The sequence below is a fragment of the Homo sapiens genome, chromosome 2 (genome assembly GCF_000001405.40).
Source record: "Homo sapiens chromosome 2, GRCh38.p14 Primary Assembly".
NCBI lineage: Eukaryota > Metazoa > Chordata > Mammalia > Primates > Hominidae > Homo > Homo sapiens.
In genome coordinates, this window is record NC_000002.12 from 152,592,973 (window position 1) to 152,616,401 (window position 23,429).

General features: G+C 41.4%; 1 protein-coding gene across 14 annotated transcripts in view, besides 1 other annotated feature; it reads left to right on the plus strand.

Annotated features, from left to right (window-relative positions):
* FMNL2 (formin like 2) overlaps window positions 1-23,429 on the plus strand; it is a 314,653-nt gene that overhangs the window by 257,799 nt on the left and 33,425 nt on the right. For all 14 annotated transcript variants that reach the window (XR_241279.5, XM_011510531.2, XM_011510533.4 and 11 more), the window contains 3 exons: window positions 14,367-14,441; window positions 18,523-18,633; window positions 21,879-22,028. Coding sequence is in view for 13 of the 14 variants with exons in the window: in XM_011510531.2 (XP_011508833.1) it covers window positions 14,367-14,441; window positions 18,523-18,633; window positions 21,879-22,028 (336 nt within the window). In the remaining variant the exon portion in view is untranslated. The remainder of the gene's footprint in view (window positions 1-14,366; window positions 14,442-18,522; window positions 18,634-21,878; window positions 22,029-23,429) is intronic.
* Window positions 19,330-19,409: an enhancer, noted in NCBI's record as "active region_16649". NCBI's record gives its function as "activates an Ori minimal core promoter by ATAC-STARR-seq in GM12878 lymphoblastoid cells {active_cell/tissue: GM12878}" and the evidence as "EXISTENCE:reporter gene assay evidence [ECO:0000049][PMID:35858748]".

The window sequence follows — 23,429 nt, forward strand, 5'->3', positions numbered from 1 at the left end:
TTTGTACAGGGCCCAGTGGGAGAAGTGGGTAGGTCCTGAGCAGGGTGATCAGGAAGGGAAGAGACCTGATTTGATGGAGAGAATTCTGGGAGCAGAGAGATTGGCATGAAATCTGTCTCAAAGGCAGCATAAGTCAGAATATATTTGTTCTTTAACCAGGAAAAATATCTGACCAGGGTCCATGTTACAGAACAAAACATGGCAAGAGGCAGGCATGAATGAGGTTCTGAGGAAACAGTGGTGGAGAGACTGGAAACCTGTGATTAAAACAAACAAACAAACAAACAAACACCTCAACTAGAAGATAGATACAAATAGAAGGGAAAAAAGAGAAAGGGAAGAAATTCACAGTTACATAATACTTTACAGTTTAGAAAATGCTATATATATATATTGCATTTGATTCTGTGGAAATCTGCAAAAAGCCTTTTATGTAATTTGGATAAAACTTTAGGAGTATTGTGTAGCTCTGCAGAAAATACAGTAGAGGGGAGAGATGCTGGAGTCTGGAAGACAGGTGGTTCAGTTGTCAAATGACTCAGCCTTGGACCCAGTTTGTGGCCATGGCAATGAATATGAAGCCAAAAAATGAAAGAAAAGGCAATAAGAGATAGGGTGATCCACCGAATATGAGAATGGACACGAGGAGAATAAGAATCTGTTCAAATAATATACACTTAATGAAGAGGAAAGTAGCCCAACTATAGTCAACAAATACAATCTGGGGATTTCTTTTTTCAGGCAAAGAAAATAAAACTTTTTTTTTAATTTATTTTTTTAGTGGGGGTGTAATGCCCGAGGTCAGATTCTTAGCTGTGCAATGAAGGTAATGAATGAGAGAACAAGTTTAAACAGAGGTGACTAGGGAGAGAGAGAGAGAGAGAGAGAGTGTGTGTGTGTGTGTGTGTGTGTGTGTGTGTGTGTGTGTGTGAGAGAGAGAGAGAGAGAGAGAGAGCGAGAGAGAGCCAAATGGGGATTGTAACTAAGTAACTAAGGAGGAAAACTCCCCCACAGGGACCCCAGTCCAGAAGGAAAAGAGTGAAGAGACAAGGTTAGAATGGGCTAGAAGGATGCTCAGAAGAGACCAGCACAGTACAAAGGGGAAGGTGGTCAAGAGGATGAGAGGATTCCTGGTGGGTCTGGTATATTGTGATGTAAGTTTTTGCTTTAGGTGAGAAGTTAGTCAAGTGGTTTTTATATATCTTCCAAGTCTACAATTTTATGATTCTATATAAAACTTTGTGTACACATGCCTATGTATGTAACATGTATTGTGTGTACCTATTCAAATAGTTCCCTCTAAGAAAGATTAAGTGCTTCTTTGACTGCAGATATGAAAACAAGGTACCTAGATAATAAAATGATAGGTGCTTTCATTTTTCAAACAAGAACAAAAACTGACATGTTTGAGGCCAGTTGGCAGGAGAGCAACAATCCTAAAAGAGATCACTATGACTGCAGACAGTATTGTGACTTCCGGCCTAAGTTCCCTTTTATGACTACTTGGAAGGTGGCTGCGTCAATCCCTTGGCTCAAGTTTCATTTCAAAAATCTGCCATGTGTCTAAGGACGTCGCTGTTTCCCTAGACTGAGAGTGAGCTGGCTGTGCTGGCCATGCTGTTAGTACCACCGCACGAGGTACTGTTGAGGACTTGTCTGTGGAAGAAGCATCCCTGGCTTGTGTAGCTTTTGAAAGATGGAGCTTTTGAGTCTTGATTTAAGCTTTTAGTTTCCCAGCTCCCCTGTCCTACCCCAAACTGTTCTGCCCACTGCAGCTCAACAGCCATTCTTTATTCCTTTCAACACAGTGGTATATGTGGCTACTGCCCAGCTCTTTAATTCTATGTATCAGTCTGCCAAGAATATATAGTCAGACTCGGTTTTCATTCACAATTGACTGAAACACACTCACTAGAAGAAAATAGCCCAGTGGTTCCTACTTATGGTCCAACAGTCACTGTCAGTCACCCTTCATCTTGCAGTTGAGCTCTCTGACAAGATGTTCCCCGCAAACTCTGCGTCACAGGGGAGTGGAAATGGCCAGTCATGGTAACATGAGCTTTAGGCTCTGTGTTGTTTTGGCAGTTTGGTTTTGGCAGTGGAAAATAAGGGCTCCTTCCCTGCCAATAACTGTACTAGCAACACATGTGATATCCCAGATTTACTGGTTCACCACCAAGAACAACACTGAATTTTTCATTTCATTTTCAACTATTTTCCAGGAATAGATGTAAAATTAGTAAATGGTGCTTTCTATGTGGAACGTGTCAAGAACATGTTTAGCACATTGGTAAAAGATAATGATCTTTTTGTTCCTTGTGTATTTGTTCATGATTGATTGATTGATTTGATTGTTGTTGCTTTTGAGGCAGAGTCTTGCTCTTGTCACCTAGGCTGGAGTGCAGTGGCGCAATCTCGGCTCACTGCAACCTCCACCTCCCGAGTTCAGGCAGTTCTCATGCCTCAGGCTCCTGAGTAGTTGGGACTACAGACACGCCACCACGCCCAGCTAATTTTTGTATTTTTAGTAGAGACGGGGTTTTGCCATGTTGGCCAGGCTGGTCTCGAACTCCTGACCTCAAGTGATCTGCCTGCCTTGGCCTCCCAAAGTGCTAAGATTACAGGCATGAGCCACCATGCCCGGCCCATGATTGTTTGATATTATGGTGTCAGGCGTCCCAGACAAATTTGTTTACTTGGGTGGATTCATTCAGTATGAATTTCTGAACTTTGAGGAATGTGTGTTCTATATATTTTTTTTCCCATGCGGAGGAGATCTCTTTCTGTCCCTTTCCCATATTCTTGCTTGAAATCTAACATTCACCTGGCTTTGGGAAAAGAACATCTTCTAGCCTTATAATGAGTCTAATGTGACAGAGTGGGTACATCCCAGAGATAATCAGAGAACAGTTAGGGGCTGTTTCCATCCAACCTGATAAGTACCAGGGATTGTACCTGGCCTTATTAAACAGAAGAATTGCAAGGAAGTCTTTTTTTTTTTTTTTTTTTAGACCAAGTCTCACTCTGCTGCCCAATCTGGAGTGCAGTGGCACCATCTCGGCTCACTGCAACCTCCTCCTCTCAGGTTTAAGCGATTCTCCCGCCTCTGCCTCCAGAACGGCTGGGATTATAGGCATGTGCCACAACGCCTGGGTGATTTTTTTTTTTTTAGTAGAGATGGGGTTTTGCCATATTGGCCAGGCTGGTCTTGAACTCCTGACCTCAAGTGATCCGCCCACCTCGGCCTCCCGCAGTGCTGAAATTACAGGCATGAGCCACTGAGCCCGGCTGTCTTTTTTTTCTACCTTGGAAAATGGTGGAGGGCTCCTTTCTATATGAAGACACTATTGGTCTCTGTGTGATGTGGCTTCATTTTTATGCAGAGATGGTACATTTAGTAGTTCTTTGTATGGTATGGTTGATTCCCAAACAATCTTGCAAGGAATTTTACTATTAGTTATCCATTTATTTGCTTCTTTAGATTTTAGGTTTAAGAATCCATCATCTTTGTAGAAATAGAGGCTATTCTGTAATCCAGTAGTTTCCAACTTTTGGCCCCTGGAGCCCTTTTTATGCTCTTAAAAATCACTGAGGTCCCTAAAGAGCTTTTGTTTATGCAAGTTATATGTTGATATTTTCCATATTAGAAATTACAACAAAATTTCAGGCCAGGCATGGTGGCTCACGTTTGTAATCTCAGCACTTAGGGAGATTGACTCGTAGAAGATAGCTGCATTCTTAGATCTGCTTCTGCGTTTAGTCACTTCTGCTGTTGTTTTTGTTGAAGTAGATGAAGAAAATTTAGCCTCACACAGATATGTAGATGAAATAGAATTATGTCAACAGCATTTTCAGATAATAGTGGGCATTCTTCTTTGATACTATACAAACACTAGACAAGTAGTAATTTCTTAAAGGTTAGTCACAAAGTAGAATCCGAAATCGTATCGATGAACTTTTTCCATACTGTTGCATTAAAATCTATTTGCCTATATTGCACCTTGAATGAATTTATAAATTTGTAACAACATTCAGTGATCATTGGGAAAATAATGGTACACTGAGTTATCTAGATCTTCTAATAATTGGCACATTTCCTAATATACTATTTTAACAAATCACATGCATTATTTTTACCTCCAATCTCATTAGAAAATTCTTTAAATACTGGGAAGCAGTCAGACTCCTCGTGGTGGGTACAGTTTTCATGTGTTTGCTTAATTTTTATCATTGATAACAAATATTGTCAGCTGTTATCTTTAAATTAAAAGGTGCACTTTGTTCATTTTCAAGAAAATACCTGCCAAGTGCATAAGTCTGAATTTGTCAGTCATGCTTTCAAGTAAGAACAAAGAGTGGCTAGTTCATCTTGCAACTGAAATAATCACAGAAATGCTTTTTCCTCAAGACAACCATACTTCAATATGCGGCAGAAATGCTTTATGCAGACTCCCCATTTCATCATCTAGAGTATCATAAAGATGTGTATCTAGGGGTTGAGATGTATAAAATTAATACCTTTTACTGCTTCATCAATGATATTCTTAAGTGAAACTGGCTTTTTAAAACTGAGAATGCGTGGCTGTGGTGAATACAGGGATTACTGGTATAATTTGGTGCACTGCCTTGATGCATGCTATGGCACTGGCAGTATTCACTCATTGTTCCTTTTGTGCCACCAGTGCCAACTGCCAACTCTGTGAAAGTATTAAGTAACATCTTAGTAGTATTATACAAATAATGCTGCCCTCACAAACCTCATAAAAGGGCCTAAAGTACCCTTGGTGTTCAAGGACCACACTTTAAGAACTGGTACCCAAATCCATTCTCTGCTGTCATCTTGGGCTGGGTGGAAGTGGTTCCAATTGGCTAAGCGCAAAATCCTTCTGCTTAAGACCCAGAGGTGACTGTGGGTGTTAGGGTGAACTTGGGGAAAAGCAAAGATGAAAGTAGAAGGGTTGGGAAATGAGAGAAGCGAGCTGTAGACAAACTGCAGGCATTTGCCTGTTGTTGGCCTGAGATATTTGGTCTATCCAAGAGTCCCTGTCTTCAAGGTCTCTGCATTCATGGCACACCATGCACTGATTAGATTTGTAGTGATTTAGGTGTGAGGAGAGCATGGGCTGATAGCTGCCTCTTGCGCAGGCCCCAAGATCTGAAATTGCTGCAGGCTTTAGACAGCTCTAGCCACGTGCTCTTGCTGTGGTTTAGAGAACATGCGATAACCCCTAGAGATGTCATTGTGTCCCTTCCCTTGCTCAGCTTGACCTAATTGGATATGCTCAAAGGATGAAGCTGTGAAGAGAAATGATTGAAAATAAAGAACAGTGTTAGGCTCCTTCAACTTTGAGGGGTCTGACTGGTAAGTCATCCCAGAGAGGACTGAAGGCCTTTGTCATGTAATCCTCAGGTGGCTATTTAAATACCATTCTCAGGCTGGGTGCGGTGGCTCATGCCTGTAATCCCAGCACTTTGGGAGGCTGCGGTGGGTGGATCACTTGAGGCCAGGAGTTCAAGACCAGCCTGGCCAACATGGCGAAACCCCGTTTCTACTAAAAATACAAAAATTACCCAGGCCTGGTGGCATGTGCCTTTAATCCCAGCTACTCAGGAGGCTGAGGCAGGAGAATTGCTTGAAACCCGGGAGGTAGAGATTGCAATGAGCCAAGATTGCGCCACTGCACTCCAGCCTGGGTGACAGAGCGAGACTCTGTCTCAATCAGTCAGTCAGTAAATATCATTCTTTATTGAAGAAATGGAAGGTATTTTGGCTTTCTAGTAGAAATGGGGGTGTATTAGGGCTCTCCAGAGAAACAGAGACAACAGGACATCTATAGATATATCTGAAGATATAAGAGGAAACATTATGGGAATTGCTCACGTGGTTATGGAGGTAGAGAAGTTCCATGCTACGCATCTGTAAGCTGGAAATCCAGAAAAGCTAGGGTGTCATTCAGCTCAAGTCTGAAGGCCTGAGAAGTAAGAGCAAGTGGTGTAAGTTATGGAGTCTGAAGGCCTGAGAACCAAGAGCTCCATTGTCCAAGGGCAGGGGAAGAAGATGGATGTCCCAGCTCAAGATGAGAGAGAATTCACCCTTCCTCCAAATTCTTTTTGTTCTGTTTGGGCCCTCAGTGGATTGGAGACGCCCAGCCACATTGGAGAGGGACGTCTTCTTTACTCACTGTCACAGACACACCCAGAAATATTTCACCAGCTCTTGGACATCACTTCACCGTCTCAAGTTGACGCATAAAGTTAACCATTACAAGTAGCCTTGAAAGACTCTATGTGTCCTTCCTAATGACCAGGAGATGTGAGTCTTGCATTGAAGCTAGAGAGGTTCAGGCTGGACTTGAAGCATATTTCGGAAAGAGATCATTTATGACCTATTGTAAGGAGGAGTTTTACTCTCTAGAATTTATTGAAGGTCATCTTTTTTTTTTTTTTTTTTTTTTTTTTTTTTTTAGAGAGGTAGTAAAAAGACATTTCTCATTGAAGGGGTGATGCGTCAATGAGTCGTCCTTTGGGGATTTTACGATCCTTTTGCTTCTGTCTTTGGGTTCTTTATTCAGTACAGCAAAATATGGGTGTGGAAAGTAAGACAGTCATCTGGCTGCTCTGTGTGCCTCCTGCCAAACATCTGGATATCTGGAAACACCTGGAAAAGTTACTGAAGTTTTCACAAGGGTGTTTAGCATTATGCGAATGAAACCTCAGGCTCATAGTCATCTCCTGGTCCAGGATTGATACAAATGTTGTATTTATGAAGGAGGAGAGTTGACTAGGTTATAGAATACATTTAGTTGCTTAGCTTTCATTAGTTTTTGTTTTAGCGGAGTGAGATAAGGTTGTTCAGTTTCAGAGCATTTCAGCTGGATGAACATATTCACAGTTAAATCCCAAGGAGACATGAGAGCCAGCAGCAGGTTGGAGTGATCTGCTTCTGTCATGGCTGCTGCATGGTGTATGTGTATGAAATGTCCAATCACTTCAAGAGACAACAATAACAGACCATTGACAGCCACAGAACACCCCAGAAAAGTGGTTTTGTCAGGCCATTATGGCCCTCATATAGCCCTCAGACTGCTGGTGCACTCAGTAGATGGTAAAAGATGGTTTTCACCTAGGACTAACTATGAAATAACTGTTTACTTCACAAGGCCCTGAAAAGAAAACAGAACTTTTGTTCTCAGGCAGGCCCCGAGAAGGGTCGTCTAATCAGTCATAATAGAGTGTGCCTCTAAAACGGTGCCTTCCTGCAGGGAGCCTTGCAGATCACAGGGGCCTATTGTAAGAGGAGAAAAAGAAAGTATTGAGGCAGGCGCCAGGCAACAAGGCAAGAAGGAAACACTTAAGCAAAGGGCCTTTAATTTTTATATAACTAACCCAGAAGCATATTTTATAGCCATCTCATAAGAGTCAGGCCTCAATTTGGCTACAGACTTTGCATGGTTCCCTGGGAGCTGTTGCTGGGGAAAGCCAGAGACTGTTACTCACCTTGAAGAGGGACAGAGAGGTGGCTGAAGTCTGGGAGTGTGTTCACTTCAACATCTGGCTGGCAAGATAATACCCAAGGTTTTTGTAAAACCATCTCCTCTCCACTATTAGCCTTTAGGGAAAGCATCCCCTAACCGCCGCCCACCCTTTGAGATGCTTTAAACTATAGCCACCTTTGCCTCCAGGGTCCCAGATTGATCCAAATGGTTTGGGACACTGTTCACAAATGTCTTTCACAGATGTTGGAGAGCATAGTTGGAGCTTTTTTTTTTTGGCAGAAGTTTTGCTTTTGCTTCAATTCTCCTTTACATGAAAATGAATCTTGCTTGTCCTGGGAGTGGCCCACGTTATCTGTGCAGGGTATGGGATTTCATAGCTTCACAATCAGGAGTGAACCAGATGGGGCAAGAGAGTGGTTTGACCTTTATGTTTGGTATTCAGGGCCAGCACAGCCAAGTGCATTCCTCTGAATTTGTTTCTGTGGAGCTTCCATGCCAGTCAGCTTGGCCATATCATGTTCTATTGCCATGCTAGATGAGAATTTTAGACGTTCAAGAATACTGAGGGAGAGAATTTTTTTCAAATTTTTTATTTGCAATGAAACCTTTTTTTCCCCTCAAAAGCAATCTTATCAGACAACTAAGTAAGTATAAGAAAGAAGATCTGGATAGTGAGGGTAGAATTCTCAAGAACCTTACTTAGGCTTTCCCTTTCTCGGCCAAGCCCCTGACTTGGAATTCCCCCTTACTCCCAAAGCTCTGTAACCCATATAGTTTCTTCTCCTTTATTTCCTCTGTAACCCTGATGGCTTTCTTTCTTTTCTTTTCTTTTTTCTTTTTTTTTTTTTTTGAGATGGAGTCTCGCTCTGTCACCCAGGCTGGAGTGCAGTGGCACGATCTCGGCTAACTGCAACCTCCATCCCCCAGGTTCAAGCAATTCTCCTACCTCAGCCTCCTGAATAGCTGGGATTACAGGCGCCTGCCACGACGCCCAGCTAATTTTTGCATTTTTAGTAGAGACTGGTTTTCACTACCTTGGCCAGGCTAGTCTCGAACTCCTGACCTCAGGCAATCCGCCCACCTTGGCCTCCCAAAGTGCTGGGATTACAGGCATGAGCCACCGCGCCGGCCGATTGCTTTCTTAAAGTATGGCTTGCAAACCAGTAGTATTATCTAAGGCTCTCTTTTCTTTTCTTTTCTTTCTTTTTTTTTTTTTTTTGAGACAGAGTCTCACTCTGTCACCCAGGCTAGAGTGCAATGGTGTGACCTTGGCTCACTGGAACCTTCACCTCCCAGGTTCAAGTGATTCTCCTGCCTCAGCCTTCCTAATACGTGGGATTACAGGCGCCCGCCACCATGCCCAATTAATTTTTGTATTTCTAGTAGAAACGGGGTTTCACCCTGTTGGCCAGGCTGGTCTCAAACTCCTGACCTCAGGTGATCCACCTGTCTCGGCCTCCCAAAGTGCTGGGAGTACAGGTGTGAGCCACTGCACCTGGCCTAAGGCTCTCAACTTGATAGATGTGAAAACTGAAGTCCAGGGTTGTTTGCTGAATGGTCCAAGCTAACAACAGGGTAGTGGCTGAACTGTGACTTATAACCCAGGTTTTACAGTCTTGTCTAATGTGCCACATAGTCCCATTTCTACCCTTATAGCCCTTTACCCCCATCAGTCTTAGAGCTTGAAGGTGCAAAGAGAGGCAGTTGTATTAGGCAGGACCCCACAGGGATGGGCAGATAGGTGGCTGTGTTAGCAGACTGAAGTCTCTGGTCCAGGATTGGAGCCTGATCATTTTTACATTAACTGGGATCGTGAATTTATTCACTTGCAGCCGGTTTATAGATGATTTATAATGAAGATGCCTCTTGGTTTTCAGTAGGGTACATACTTTTCCAGGGCATATACTTTTATTTGTCTGCTGGTTTACTTAATTGCTGGTAGCCCCAGCTGCTAGCAGTAGTAGTCTAATTCCTGATAGGGCAGTCCAGTGCACAGAAGGGCTCCTTGCCGCTCTGCTCGGCTCAGTTTTTCTGTAGCTCTTAAACTTTCTCCCCACCCCACTTAATAGAGTACATGTTATTGATTTGGAAACTGGTATCAAAGCTGGTGGGAGAACGAGATATACCAGTGAATATAAAAGTCAAGAATGACACGTTTCAGCTGCAAGAATATAGCTTTTTTATTAAAAAGTTTTTGCACCGTGTATTATCTGGCCTTTGTGGGCAGATGGAAGTGATGCCCATCAATATAGAATGTGTAATGATGTACACGTGCAAATATGCTCCTGGCTCTTAGAAACGTTTTGATGAAGCGCTCGAGTTCATTCCCATGCAGGCCAATGCATGGATTCTGAAAATAACTGAAAATTAGTGTCTCGTTCCTTTCATCCTCACCGATTTTCTAAAGAGGCCACCGCAAAGGAGAGAGCATGTTCCACCATGATGGTCCTGTTTCACCCAGTGCGTGGGGGTGCTCCAGATGTGAGCAGTATGAACGAAGACAACTTTCCTTTGATGTGGGACACAACTTTTACCAACCTTCCCCAAACATATCTTCCTGTTTCCTGTGGGATTGTAGTGTACACTTGTTTAATGATTGCTAAAGTAATGGAGAAACAAATGTGAATCTGGCCTGCATGCTTCCTTTCCTTCCTCAGAAACAAAGTGGGGCTCTGGAATCCTTGCTGTGCCTGTGGAATGTGTCAGGAAACACAACCCTGAGTTCATTAGTTGAGATTGGCAGCAAAGCAGCCTTGGGTCTGGTGGAGCTGTGGTAGTAGGGGTCCTTCTAGTCCTTACCATGGAGAGTGGTCACTCTGTTGCTTTCAAGGTTTCCCAAAGCCGGCATTTGTATTCATAATGTCATTTTGTGCATTTGGGTTATTTTCGCCAAGTTCATAGCAGCTGTAAATAAGAAGATATTTAAGTCTGTTTTTTTTTTTTTTTTTAAGATTAGAGGTATTTCTCTGTTTTGTAACGCACATGTTCTCAGTAGGGATTTGTCTGTTGACAGAATGAGGGCTCTCTAAAGAAACACATATATTCAAGGCTCTTCTTAACATCTACTTCAGGTCTATCTGCCAGGCTAGTGATGTGTTTTTTGGGATCCTTATCCACCATGAAATCTAGTGTTGCTTGTTCTATATTTGATGCCATCTTTTAAAGTAACAGGCTATGAGTAGTTTGTTGCCGTCCACATGTGCTTTTCCAGCCATTCAAAACCTTTTTTTTCTAAGACCCAACATGCACCCCTTGATTATTTTTGGGTTACCTTATTATTCATTGCACTTATGCAGGGGCAGTGGGTCCATTCCTGCGGCATTCCTATGATATCCAATTATAGTAACTGTGTTTGTGTTGCTCAGTTAGAAGTTGAATGAGCTGGAGATTTAATGATCTAGTTAATCAGTTTATAATTGGTAATCAGAAAGACTGAGGGTTTAATCAGCCAGTGTGATATCATATGAGCCATTGGTTCCCAGATGCTGGTCCAACAACCACAAGTATTCACAGATTTCTAGGCCCATCTGGGGAGATTCTTATTCAGTATGTCTCAATATAGACTCTAGGAATCTATCATTTTTCGAGGTTCCATGGAAGTTTCTGGTGCAGGGATGTCAAAGTATGCATGGTATAATGACTATGTCTTTTAGTGATAATGTTTTTCATCTCTGTGTGTCTCAGATACTGCTGGAATGCCTTAACTACCTTCTTTAATGGAATATGTTTATATGGGCATTCTGGGCTATGTGGGAGAAGGAACCTCAGGCTGGCCATCGGGGACCTGGTTCTAGCCTTGGTTCTGCCACTCTCTCAACCTTTCATCAGGTTAGAGAAGTCTAATCTCTGTGTAGGTCTAATTCATAAATTGAGAGCATCAGATTATGCAAAAGGCATTTTTCAGCTTTCTAACATTCTTCGAAGAGCTTTGCCTCCCTAGGAATTGCTTTTGTTGTCACTGTTCACGAACAGCTGTTGCCTCATTTAGTTTAGCGTGTGCCTAGCCCCTCAACCAAACATGAATCACGGTCTGCTTCTCAGGAGAGCTGGTAGCTCTCCCCGAATTCAGGATGGCCTCTTTTCCTCTTCTGTTACTGCCACTACCAATCACCCACAACAAGACCAAAGTACACTGTTTTTTTTTTGAGACAGAGTCTCACTTTGTCGCCCAGGCTGGAATGCAGTGGTATGATCTCGGCTCACTGCAACCTCTGCCTTCTGGGTTCAAGCAATTCTCCTTCCACAGCCTCCCAAGTAGCTGGGATTACAGGTGCATGCCACCACTCCTGGCTAATTTTTGTATTTTTAGTACAGACGGGGTTTTACCATGTTGGCCAGGCTGGTCTCAAACTCCTGACCTCATGTTATCTGCCCACCTCGTCCTCCCAAAGTGCTGGGATTACAGGCGAGAACCACCGTGCCCAGCCTGTATTGGGGTTTCTGCTAAAGAAAATTCACATTGCAGTTCTGACCTTTCGTATAAAACCTCAGGGTTTTTTACCCACAGATCCCTTTTTGCAGGCAAGAGATGCTTGTCTCTTTGGGCGTAAGATGTGACTGATGTCATAGTCTAGGGAGCTGGGCCTGTACTGCCTCACCCCCTTCAACAAACCTTTCATTTCCAGGAACTTGCTGTAGATTGTCTAGGGGGGCCAGCTGAGGAGGGGGGCAGAACATGGTAACCCCTTAAATCTCTGGTTGTCAGCCATTGTGGAGCATCAAAATGATCCATAGTGCTTTTAAAATTGTGCATGCCCGTGTCCCCCCAGCACCACCTGGGCCAATTGAATCAGACTCTCCAGTGTGGGACTGGTCATGTGTGTGCGTCTGTGCGTGTGCGTGTGTGTGTGCGTGTGTGTGTGTGTATTTTTGAGACAGGGTCTTGCTCTGTTGCCCAGGCTGGTGTATGGCATGATCATGGCTCACTGCAGCCTCGACCTCATGGACTCAAAGTATCCTCCCACCTCAGTCTCCTGAGTAGCTGGGACTACAGGTGCGTGCCACTGCACCTGTCTGATTTTTTAATTTTTATTTTCAGTACAGACATGGTTTCATTATTTTGCCCAGGCCAGTCTTGAACTCTGGGGCTCAAGCGATCCTCCCGCTTTGGCCTCTCAAAGCCCTGGGATTACAGGTGTGAGCCACCATGTTAGGCCAATTTTAAAGACTTTACTTTAGACTCTACCTTCCATGCACTGTCCCTCTGCATTCTGAAATTATTTTTTGTTAAGTCAGGTATAAATAAATTTTCACGGAGAGTTGTCATGAAAATGCAGTAAATGGTGGTCTGAATCTGTTGGAAATACTGCTTTGAGACTAGGAGGCCCTCAGAGGCTGAAGGCTGTTCACTTTAACGTTCCCAGCGTATGGTTTAGAGATGGCCACCACTAAGGATTTACCCCCGGTGGTGCCTGTCTACCATGGTTTAATGCTTCATCATGGAGAACAGGAAGTCATTCATCGTTTTGTGAAGTGAATTTTAACATAATTACTCATTTATCTTCTATTCAGTGCAATTTAACAAATACGATTGGGAACTTACAATGTACTAAGCATTGATGTAGATGCTATGTAGTGAACTAAACAGAATTCCTGCCTTCGTGGGAATTTCTCTTCACCAAAATATATATATATTCACTTGGAGTTTCACACGACTGAATTAAATGGCTGCATTATGAAATAACATTTTAGAAGAATTTTTGAGGATTGACCTGAGTTATCCCTAAGATCACAAATGGAATCAGAAAATTTGGAGTTTAGCATGTGAAACCTGGATTAAATTAGCAAAATGTTAACCAAGGGACTGTGTCTTACTAATGCAGCAAATAGTCAGGAGTGGTTTGGAGAAATATTTTCTGAAGGTGAAATGAATAAACCAGTGGGTATAGGACTTTGCCCCAAAAAAGTCAACCAAGGACATTGACAGAATTAAAGTTTGTCCTTTGACTTTAAAAATAAGTCTTCAGAGCTGGGTATGGTGGTGCCTGCTTGTAGTCCCAGCTACTTGGGAAGCTGAGGCAGGAGGATTGCCTGAGCCCAGGAGGTTGAGACTGTAGTGAGCTATCATTGTGCTACCACATTCCAGCTTGGAATCTAAAATTTAAAAAAAAGAAAGAAAAAAAGTCCCCAGAGAGTCATTTGATAGAAATCTTTTTTGACTCTTTTTTTTTTTTTTTTTTTTTTTAGCTCCATGTATTTTATTTCATGTATATGCAAATACCTTTGGGCCCTGGAGTTACCAGTATTTTATGTTTGTTTCATCTGATCAATGAAAACATTAATTAGCTGAATGCATATGTTTCAGGATTCTGGGATGCTACTTCACAAATTACTGCAGATTTCTATACTCACCTTAAATGGGTTAATATAGCTTCCACGGTGTCTATTTCTGTATTGTAGTTTATGCACTGAGATTTTTTGATTCAGTTATACATATGAACATTTTAAATGTGCCTTTTAAAGAATTTAAATACTCATATCTTTTTGCATGTCTTTTTTCCTTTTTACAAAAGGAAGCTATGGTCGTTTTTTTTTTTTGTTTTTTTTTTTTTTTTTTACCATGACTGCATTCTTGGATTCCAAATGTATGCTAAAAAATTCGTGAGACTGCAAAGGCAACCAATGAAAGAAAAACACATTTGATATGGATTTCAAAATATCAAGAGAATCTGGAAAGGAAACCAAGATCAGCTTTTGGTTGCAGCTCATATGGCTGTTTGTGAGTTAACTAGCTTAGAAGGGAAGTAAATAGTTTATGAGAGAGAAAAAGATAGATATTCTGGAAATCATTATTAAGCTGAAATTTCTGCATCTAATTTTGGAATGTTTATGTTTAGAAAGTCACATGCACAATGAAAATGTGTGTTTCAGGTTTGTGGAGAAAAACAGCGCTTTGAGAAGTTGATGGAACATTTCAGGAATGAAGACAATAACATAGATTTTATGGTGAGTTATTTCAGTATTCAATAAAGCAAACTCAGTTTCAATACTTTTTTTCTAAATACACACACACACACACACACACACACACACACACACATATTTATATTACAAAGGACAGGGAATTGCAATTAATATGCTATAGATCCAATCTAGAATGTCCCTCTTAATCTGTATTTCTCTTTGATTTCCATTTTATTCCTTACATACACGGTATAGTAAAGACAAAAGTACTAATCATAGCAAATAAAGGGGAAGCCGTGCAGTTGGAAACAGCCATGCCTGGTGCAAATGCTGCCATTGTTTAATTGTTGATGATGCTGCATAAGAATCCTTAAGGTAGAAGCAATCTTGACCTTTTTTATTTTTGCAGGCCCCTGCCAGTGCCCTTCTCCAGACTATATTCTTAAAAATTAAAGTGCTTTGGTTTGTAGAGTTGACTGTATGTATCTCCAAAATGAATATGCAGCAGTGATTTTTTTTTTCCTCCCTGATCTCTTTCCTGCTTTGGTAATTCTGTGAGGGTATAATCATATTGGGGCTGTCCTTGGCAGGTTAGGTGACATACAAGAACATGCGGTTCCACAGCAGTCCTGTCATTCTCGGGTAAGAACATCAAAGTGAGTTGCAGCACTTCTGCATTCATACACGTAAATCTTAATCTGGAAGGAAGATAGAATCTACCATAGTGAATTTCTCCAGAAGTTTTACGCTTGAGTGCACCCAGATCTGTAGGCGTTGACCCAATCCAGTTGCCCTAGGGAAATTCTAGACCCAGGAGATCCTAACCGGGCTGTAATTTCCCAGATCACTTCTAACCTGAAGCAGACGTACCAATGACTCCTTACCTTGCAGAGCCTATGCTTAGGATGCCAAGTGAATTTTTCATTTGAATTGCTTCAGTGATTATAAAACATGAAACATAGCTTTGCAGATTTCTAACCCTTTTTGTGAAAAAAAAAAAGAAAAAAAAAAAAAAAAAGTTTGGAGTCCTCAAGTTTTATATGCGTCTTAGCCCTCAGCCCCTTCCAAAACCAGTGAGAAAGATGAAATCCTTTATAGAGAAGATTTTCTGTTGCATAAAGCATGTTATTTGCTTTTCAAAGTGTGTGTGTCTATATATATATACTTTATATATATACATATATATGTATATATATGTGTCTATATACTTTATATATATACACACACATATATGAAACAAGGGACATTTTTACACTGACTTTTAAAATCTTGTTATTAGGATTTTTTAAAGAAGTTAAGGCTGATGCTGGCCCTGGTGATAAATACGTAAAGAGATTGGTGCCTTGTCTCATGATGTGAGTTTCTTTCTTGTGCCTTTTTAGGGGAACTTATTCATTCTGTTAGAGTTGAGGTTGCAAACTGTAGGCTTTCATGCTAAAGCCAACCTACAGGCTTATGAGTTCAGTCTGACAGTGATGACCCTACTTAAACAATTTGGACATGATGCATAAAAAATACACATCTGATTTGCTTGGAAACTGAAAATATTTGAGAACACTAGGCCCCTGTTCCTGCAGAGTGTCAGCTGCTGGAGCCAAGCAGCCCCTATTGCTTTAGTCCAAAGATGTCCTCTCTAGTTTGTCACAGTCCACACCATTCCCTTTGCGTGACACACAGCCCAGCCTGCTCATTTATGATACCTGCCAGACCTCCTTGCCATTTGAGTTTCTGCTGAAATTACAATTATATAAAGCCCTTTAAAACACCTGTACTATCCATACACAAACTAGGTTCCATTTTCTGTCAGTTCGTTTATTCACATATACATGCAATGAGGTACCTTATTTAGAGGCTGCTATTACACAAGTTCTATGTGCTAGATTCATGTGTCACCTTCAGATAGTTGCCTCTTAGGCATATCATAAAACTCAGTAGATCATTTAGACCTGTTTTCCGAAGAGAAATGGAAAGATGCCAGAATCTAACCATGTTTTCTCTCCAGAATATGAGGCTTTTGATAAACTGCCTTGGGAATGCAATTAGGTTGCACAACCTCTGAAACAACATATTCCTCATAACATATAATATAAATTTTTCTAATGTAGTATAAGACATTTCTACCCTTTTTCTGTATTTTTTTGTGGACAAAAGAAAACAAAAACCATTTTGTTTCTTTAAAAAATATTTTTCTAGTTTGTATTTTGTACATGCCTTTGTAAAGATATATTTTTTAAAGCTCATTTAGTGATAGAACCCGAGATGATTTTTATTTTTTTATTTTTTTTTAGTAAGTTGCAGTAGAGTCCTTTTGTAAGCTAGAGAGGTTACACATCTTCCAAAGATATCCAATGTATACCATATCTTCAAAGAAGAATCTAACTTGATAAAAAAATTTTTTAAAAGATAAAGGAAATTAGGTTTGGAGAGAGACAAGGAATAAGGTGGTTCTCAGGATAAGTGTGACTCTGCATCCCTCAATCATATTCCCTCCTTGCCAGAGACTCTCCTGGGTGACAGCCATGGAGGGAAAGCATTAGTAAGATGTTTCCACCATAAATAGACTGATAGTCACTGTGGAAAGCAAAATAGATCTGTTGAATGCTGTCCTTTTATTTACCAAACCAGGGACAGGTTTTCTCTTTGGCAGGTCTCAGGGCCAGTGGTGAAGTTGTGGGGAGAAAGCAGTAAATCCCAGGCTTTTAGGGAATGCAAACTCGTTGATTATATGGAAAGATGGGTCAAGGATCTGTTACTATCCTGTTGATAGGGAAGAGTTCACAGGGAATTTTTAGATGTGGTTACCTTTTGGTGAGATTGTAGGTGATTTAAATGTTCTTCTTTAAAAAATGTTCTTTGTAATAATTTTCACATTTTGTACAACATAACTATAATAATTTCCACAGTTTATCTTATATACCTATATGACTTTCACTGAGATATAATTAACATACCATCAGATTCATCCAATTTATTTATAATCCAGTGCCTATTTAGCCTATTCACAGGGCTGTACAATCCTTACCACAATTTAGGACACAGCGTCACCCCCCCAGAAAAAAGTCCTGTACCCATTGGCAGTCCCTCCCATTTATCCCACCCTCAGCCCTAGGCAACCACTAACCTGCTTTCTATCTCAATAGTTTAGCCTGTTCAGGATGTTTTGTATGAATGGAATCACACAACATGTGGTCTTCTATAACGGGTTTTTATCATTTAACATGTTTTCAAGATCACGTTGTAACATGTGTTGGTAATTTATTGGTTTTTATGGTTTCATAATATTCCATTGTTTGGATATACCACATTTTGTTTATCGATTAATGGACATTGGCTTCTTTCTACTTTTTGGTTGTTATTAATGATGTTACTCTGAACATCTGTGTAAAGATTTTTATGTGGACGTATATTTTCATTTCTCTTAACTGTATATCTAGAAGCGGAATCGCTGGGTCATATGATAATGCTGTGTTTATCATTTTGAGTAAAAGTCACACTTTTTAAAGTGGCCACCCTTTTTTACATTACCACCAGCAATGGATGAGGGTTTTAATTTCTCCATATCCTTCCCAACTTTTGTTACTGTATTTCTTTTTTATTATAGCCATCTGAGTGGGTGCGAAGTGGTGTCTTATTGTGGTACCTCTGTGACTTTTGAATTTAAAAATAAGTATAAAATATTTTTAAAGAGGCCGGGCGCAGTGGGTCATGCCTGTAATCCCAGCACTTTGGGAGGCCCAGGCCGGCGGATCACGAGGTCAGGTGTTTGAGACCAGCCTGGCCAGCATGGTGAAACCCCATCTCTACTAAAAATACAAAAATTAGCTGGGCGTGGTGGCACCTGCCTGTAATCCCAGCTACTCGGGAGGCCGAGGCAGGAGAATCGCCTGAACCCAGGAGGCGGAGGTTGCAGTGAGCCGAGATCATGCCACTGCACTCCAGTCTGGGCGACAGAGCAAGACTCCATTTCCAAAAAAAACCATATATATATTTTTAAAGAACCAATGAAATGAAGGAAAAGGAAATCGGTAAGTGAGCCTTTTTTATGAAATTGAAAGCACATGTCTGCAGTTAAACTGAGAAAAAAGTTTGGAGCCCATCTAACCCCTTGACAATTTCATTTCAGGTGGCTTCTATGCAGTTTATTAATATTGTAGTCCATTCAGTAGAAGATATGAATTTCAGAGTTCACCTGCAGTATGAATTTACCAAATTAGGCCTGGACGAATACTTGGACGTGAGTATAGCTGTGACCTTTGGCTCCAATATAAGAATTGACTTATTATTGCCTGCCCTCAAAGGTACGCTTCCATAGCAGCTAAAGAATGCCTAAAGCTCTATGCAGTCAACTACTGTAGTGCTAGTTAAAGGGAACTGAGCTGAGTGATGTACTCTGCCAGAGATGCTGGATTCTTGCAGGGCTCCTGGGATCTCAGGTCATCTTCTGCTAGCAGCCTTTTAGTACGGGAGTCAGATAACCTCTTGCAGCCTTGCTGCAGCTTTCCTCTCCTTTTGAGCTTCATCTGGGTCAAGTCTCATTGCATCCTTCATCTGGGCTATTGGGCAATTTGTGTTCTTGGTTACTCCGGGGACCCCATCTGGGCAGAGAAAGTCAAGCCAAGACTGTAGAGTGATGAGTCAGTGCTTAGAGCATAAAAAAAAAATAATGAGGAAATGGACACCAGAGACTTCCTCCTGAAGCTGCTAAATTCTGCTTCAAGTGTTTGTGGCTTTAGAAGTTCCACTTTTAGTTCTTAGGAGAAGGAGGTTTAAAGTTTCCCTTTTTCTCACTCCCTTGCAGAAGAGTTTAGCCAGTTCCCTGAAGTTCTTCAGTTAAGAAACAGAAACTTGTGAAAATCAGAAATGGTCTTGAAAAGGCTGATGGCTCACACCTGTAATTCCAGCACTTTGGGAGGCTGAGGTGGAGGATCACTTGAGCCTAGGAGTTCAAGACCAGGCTAGGCAACATAGTGAGACCCCATCTATACAAAACACCAAAAAATTAGCCAGGTGTGGTGGTATGTGCCCGTGGCCCCAGCTGCTTGGGAAGCTGAAGTGGGGGGATCATTGGAGTCCAGGATTTCTAGGCTGCAACAAGCTGTGATTGCACCACTGCACTCCAGCTTGGGTGGCAGAGCGAGACCCTGTGTCTAAAACGGAAAAGAAGTGGACCTGAGGATCCAGGCAGTTTTGTTTTCCCTTTTGTATAGGAATGGTCTAGTGATAGAGCAAGAATTGTTGACCTCAATTTCCTTCCTTTTTTTTGAGACAGGGTTTCACTTTGTCAACCAGGCTGGAGTGCAGTGGTGCAATCTTGGCTCACTGCAACCTCTGCTTCCTGGGTTCAAGCGATTCTCATGCCTCAGCCTCCTGAATAGCTGGGATTACAGGCACTATGCCTGGCTAATTTTTGTATTTTTAGTAGAGACTGGGTTTCACCATGTTGGCTAGGCTAGTCTCATACTCCTGCCTCAAGTAATGCACCCAGCCGGTGACCTGAATTTCAAGCCTGTTTCCAGCTGTGAAGAATATAGAAGTACTTCCTTTGGGCATCTCAGGAATTCAGTTGCCCATCTTTGTTAGAGATAAACCCAAGGGATTGCACAGACTGTACCCTCAGTTTATTAGGAGACGGAATCACAGAGGTGGTTACTCTCAACCTGAAGGCCTTGCTTCCTAGACTGGCTGGGCTGCCCTTGAATAGATGGGCCTACTGTTGTCTAAAGACTACTCAGGGAGAGGCGTAATAGATTTCCATTAAAATGTTGTTTGAATTGCTTTCCTTTTTATTTAAAGGCTCATTTATATCACTGGCAGAATATTGTACAGAAAGACTCTTTCTTACTTTGAGATCAAGGTTTGTCTATCCCTTTTTCTCCTATGCTCTAAAAGTATCAGTATTTGAACAAAAATTGGATGTATAAATTCCTAGCGGTGTTTTGGGTTTGGTTTTGTGGTGTCTGAGCAGAGCTTGTTTATGCTGTAGAATATAACGGCAGGTACCCACTTATCACTGAACACCTGTTATTCATTGTGAATCTCATGAAAAATCCCATTAAGCTGCTTCTCCTTTTGTTCTAGCCTTTGCCCTTATTTAGAAGCCATTCTCACTTGTGACTCATAAATGAAAACAGAACACTCTCTCTTCAGAATAAGCTGTATTGTAGAATTCCAGATTAAACCTAGGGGAAAATCCATTTTTCTGAAAATTTATGTAGAGTGGAATTTCTCTTAAAAATGTAAGATTTTTTGTCAAAACTCTGTATTTCTTTAACTTCATCATGTGTTGACTCTGGAACCTAATAGAGGTGGTTAGAAGAGTAATGTAAATGTATGCTATATAAATGCTTCACTAGTTTACAAAAACCCAGCCTTGTAAGTAGCCATTGATTTGTTCAATAAATGTTGATTGGCATCATCCATGCACCAGGTATTATTCTAATCACTCATCTGTTCCCCAGGGAAAGTCATGACTTATGTTACTTGTAGGGAAGATTCACTGATTTATTTGACCTCTAATTTCCAGAGCTAGCTGAGTCCCTGCAGGATGCCTAGTTTGGGAGGCAGTGAATTGGGGAAAGCTTTCTGATCTGCCTTGGGGAGCCCTGAGCTGTTCATGCTGTATACTGACTTAGGGAGGGATGTGTGGAGGTTGGGCTCTAGCAATTTGTGCTAAAATAATCCCCAAGGCTAAGTATAAACTCTGTCAGTGTCTGCCCCACCTCTCGCCTAACCTTCTTCCCCTACTGGAACCACTGTAACTAACCAGGTAAGATACCAAACACTCCAGTCTTTTCCACTACACAGATACCCCTCAGGTTTTATGTGGCCATGACTATAACCTGTTAAAGCTGCTTTTAATTTTTCTGTTGTCCCAATTTCATGTATATCAAAATGTTTTACATAGGAATATAACTACATGGGGCAGTAAGGATTTGGGGGAAAATGTGTGTGCATTTGGGAGAGCGTATTCACCCGAAAGTCATCTGATGATACTGCTTAGGCAGTCACTCCATAATTCTCTTAAGGAAGATGACATGTTAAGCTCTCTTGGAAAGGGCTGGACTATTTGTCGAAAAGAAAACACATAGACTGGCTGGGTGTGGTGGCTCACGCCTGTAATCCCAGCACTTTGGGAGGCTGAGCCGGGTGGATCACGAGGTCAGGAGATCGAGACCATCCTGGCCAACAGGGTGAAACCCCGTCTCTACTAAAAATACAAAAATTAGCTGGGTGTGGTGGCGCGTGCCTGTAATCCCAGCTACTTGGGAGGCTGAGACACGAGAATCGCTTGAACCCAGGAGGTGAAGGTTGCAGTGAGCTGAAATCATACCATTCCACTCCAGCCTGGGTGACAGAGTGAAACTCCATCTCAAAACAAAACAAAACAAAACAAAAAACAAAAAAGACAGACTCTTAGGAAATGATGTTCTATTTCCATAGATGAGCTAACACCACGTTCTCTCCTATTCTGGTTTTTAGAAGCTGAAACACACTGAGAGTGACAAGCTTCAAGTCCAGATCCAGGCTTACCTGGACAATGTTTTTGATGTAGGAGCTCTACTGGAAGATGCTGAAACTAAGAATGCTGCCTTGGAGAGGGTGGAAGAACTGGAAGAAAACATTTCTCATGTAACTATATCTCAGAAAAGGAAAAATTGCTTACATTTCAGCTGGTTGCAAAGCAGAATTAATGTCAGCTTTTATGGTGGTAAATTTAAGGATTTGGAGTATAGGAATAGGCCATACCCTGCAAGAGAGAGCTATCAGAAGCTGTTCTGTGTTTTTTCCAAAAAGCAGATGTGTTATGTAAAATGAAATAGAATCTGTTGCTTTGCTTTAGCTCACTTACCTGCTCAGTTTCTGCTGAGGTGCATTTCCTGGCAGTCTTGCTTACAGGCTCAAGCAGAGTGGGGGTGTTTGATGATTGGCATTACGTAAATGATTAGAGGGAAATTAAATATGAGAATTTGGCCTGAGGCGAAGAGGTATCTTCTTATCAACTATGTCCACACAAACCCATGGACAGGATTAGCTGGTGTCTCTGTGATGCATGTCTGAACATTCCTGTCTTACGGTACTCAAATTCTTAATAGAGTCATTTCAACAATAGGCATTTTCAAGGACATCGGTGTGCTTTCTCATATATCCTGTTCTTTGAAGAATGTCCTCAGTATCGTTGTCAGCTCTATCACAGGACAGGGTCTCATTTTTCTTTGAGGGATTTTTCTTGCCATAGACTGATTTGAATATGACTCTAAGGGCCTTTAGAGATTATTTGTTCATTCATTAACCACATATTTCAGTAGTAAAAGAATTAACAGAAAAATGGTGCTTCTCAAAAACCCAAGCATTATGAAGACCAAATTCTTTTGGTGAGTCTGGTGAGCACTTTCCTTGATTATGAAATGAAGTGTCTCCTTTTGGAGGATTATTATTTTCTCCTTTGAACAGTTCATTTATTTTTCTCCACATGTTTTTTAAAGAGTGCTGCATATGCTCAGTTTCCTTCACCTTTCCCCATCACTGTGAAAATGGGTCTCTTCATGGCTGTGGGTAAGCCAAGTTGGTGAGCCAAAAACCCTCCCTTTAAAAGTGCCGCTATGACCCAGCTGGCATCCGCTTAAAAAGAGAATTTTACAGGCCCAGTATATCTTCCCTTAGAAGATTTGTGTTATATGCTGAACCCAATCAGTGTAAATCTCCACTCTTCCTCCTTACCTTGCCTCCCTGGTTTTCTTTACTTGTAATGAATTTAAAGGAGATGTTAGAAATCAGAAGTTGCTCAGTGTTAGAGCCCTATGTGAAAAGCAGCTGTTTAACACATGGCTCACCCTGTCTTTCTCCTGAAGCCTCAGCCAACATTGCATGACCATACTTACATGTCCACTTTTGTAGCAGCAATCTATTTGAATGGCCTCCCCCAAATAACTTTTATTATTATTATTATTTTTGTGGGTTTTTTTTTTTTTTTTTTTTGGAGATAGAGTCTTACTCTGTCACCCAGGCTGGAGTGCAGTGGCGCGATCTTGG